This window comes from Homo sapiens, chromosome 17 (genome assembly GCF_000001405.40).
Source record: "Homo sapiens chromosome 17, GRCh38.p14 Primary Assembly".
In the NCBI taxonomy this organism is placed as follows: Eukaryota; Metazoa; Chordata; class Mammalia; order Primates; family Hominidae; genus Homo; species Homo sapiens.
The window spans coordinates 58,034,985-58,036,205 of NC_000017.11; positions in this window are offsets into that span (position 1 = coordinate 58,034,985).

Sequence of the window (1,221 nt, forward strand, 5' to 3'; positions counted from 1 at the left end):
CCAGGTTCAAGTGATTCTCCTGTCTCAGCCTCCCGAGTAGCTGGGATTACAGGTGCGTAGCCCCCCACCACACCTGGCTAACTTACTGGCTAACTTTTGTATTTTTAGTAGAAACAGGGTTTCACCATGTTGGCCAAGCTGGTCTCAAACTCCTGACCTAAGGTGATCCACCCATCTCAGCCTTCCAAAGTGCCGGGATTACAGGCGTGAGCCAGTGCACCCAGACCTTTAATGTACATTTTTGATGAAATGTATTTAAATTGTATATCTTTTGAACAAAATTACATTTTATTTTTTAATCTGTTAGATCAGGGCTTGGCAAACCTTTTCTGTAAAGAGCTTGATAGTAATAATAAGTAATAAGAGCCAGATAATAAGTATTTTAGGCTTAGCATGCCTAATAAGTATTTTAGCTACGTGATCTCTGTCACAGCTATTCAGTTCTGTGGTTATAGGTGATTACTGCAATAAGTGAATGAGTGTAACTATGTGCCAATAAATGTTTACAAAAACATGTCGTGGGCTGAATTTATCCAGTGGGTCATAGTTTGCTGACCCCTTAGATCAATAGAATGTAAGTTATGTGAAGAATTTAGATTATAGCAACATAGTTGGTGATATTGCTGAAATAAAGACAATAAAATAAATTTTATGGAATAAAATATAATTTGTTAATTAAACATCTTTATTTTATAATTCACCCAAAATTGCTGCACACTAACAAAATGCCTGGAGAAGCAAATAATGATCTGCATTACTTTGGATCAGGCAACGGTGTTTCAGATACAACACCAAAAGCAGAAGTGACGGAAGAAAAAATAGACAAAGTGCACTTCATCAAAAGTAAAACCATCACAGGCTTCAAAGGACACCATCAAGAGAGTGAAAATACAACCCACAGAATGGGAGAAAATAGTTGCAAACCATCTCTCTGATGACAGTCTAGTATCTAGATTATATAAAGAACATTTACAACTCAATGATAAAAGGACAGGGCCAGGTGCGGTGGCTCATGCCCGTAATCCCAGCACTTTGGGAGGACAAGCTGGGATGATTGCTTGAGCCCAGGAGTTTGAGGCCAGCCTGGGTGAGATGGTGAGGCCCCATCTCTATAAAAAATTTAAAAATTAGCTGGGCATGATGGTGCACACTTGTCGTCCCAGCTACTCAGGAAGCTGAGGTGAGAGGATCGCTTGAGCCCAGGAACTGGAGGCAGCAGTC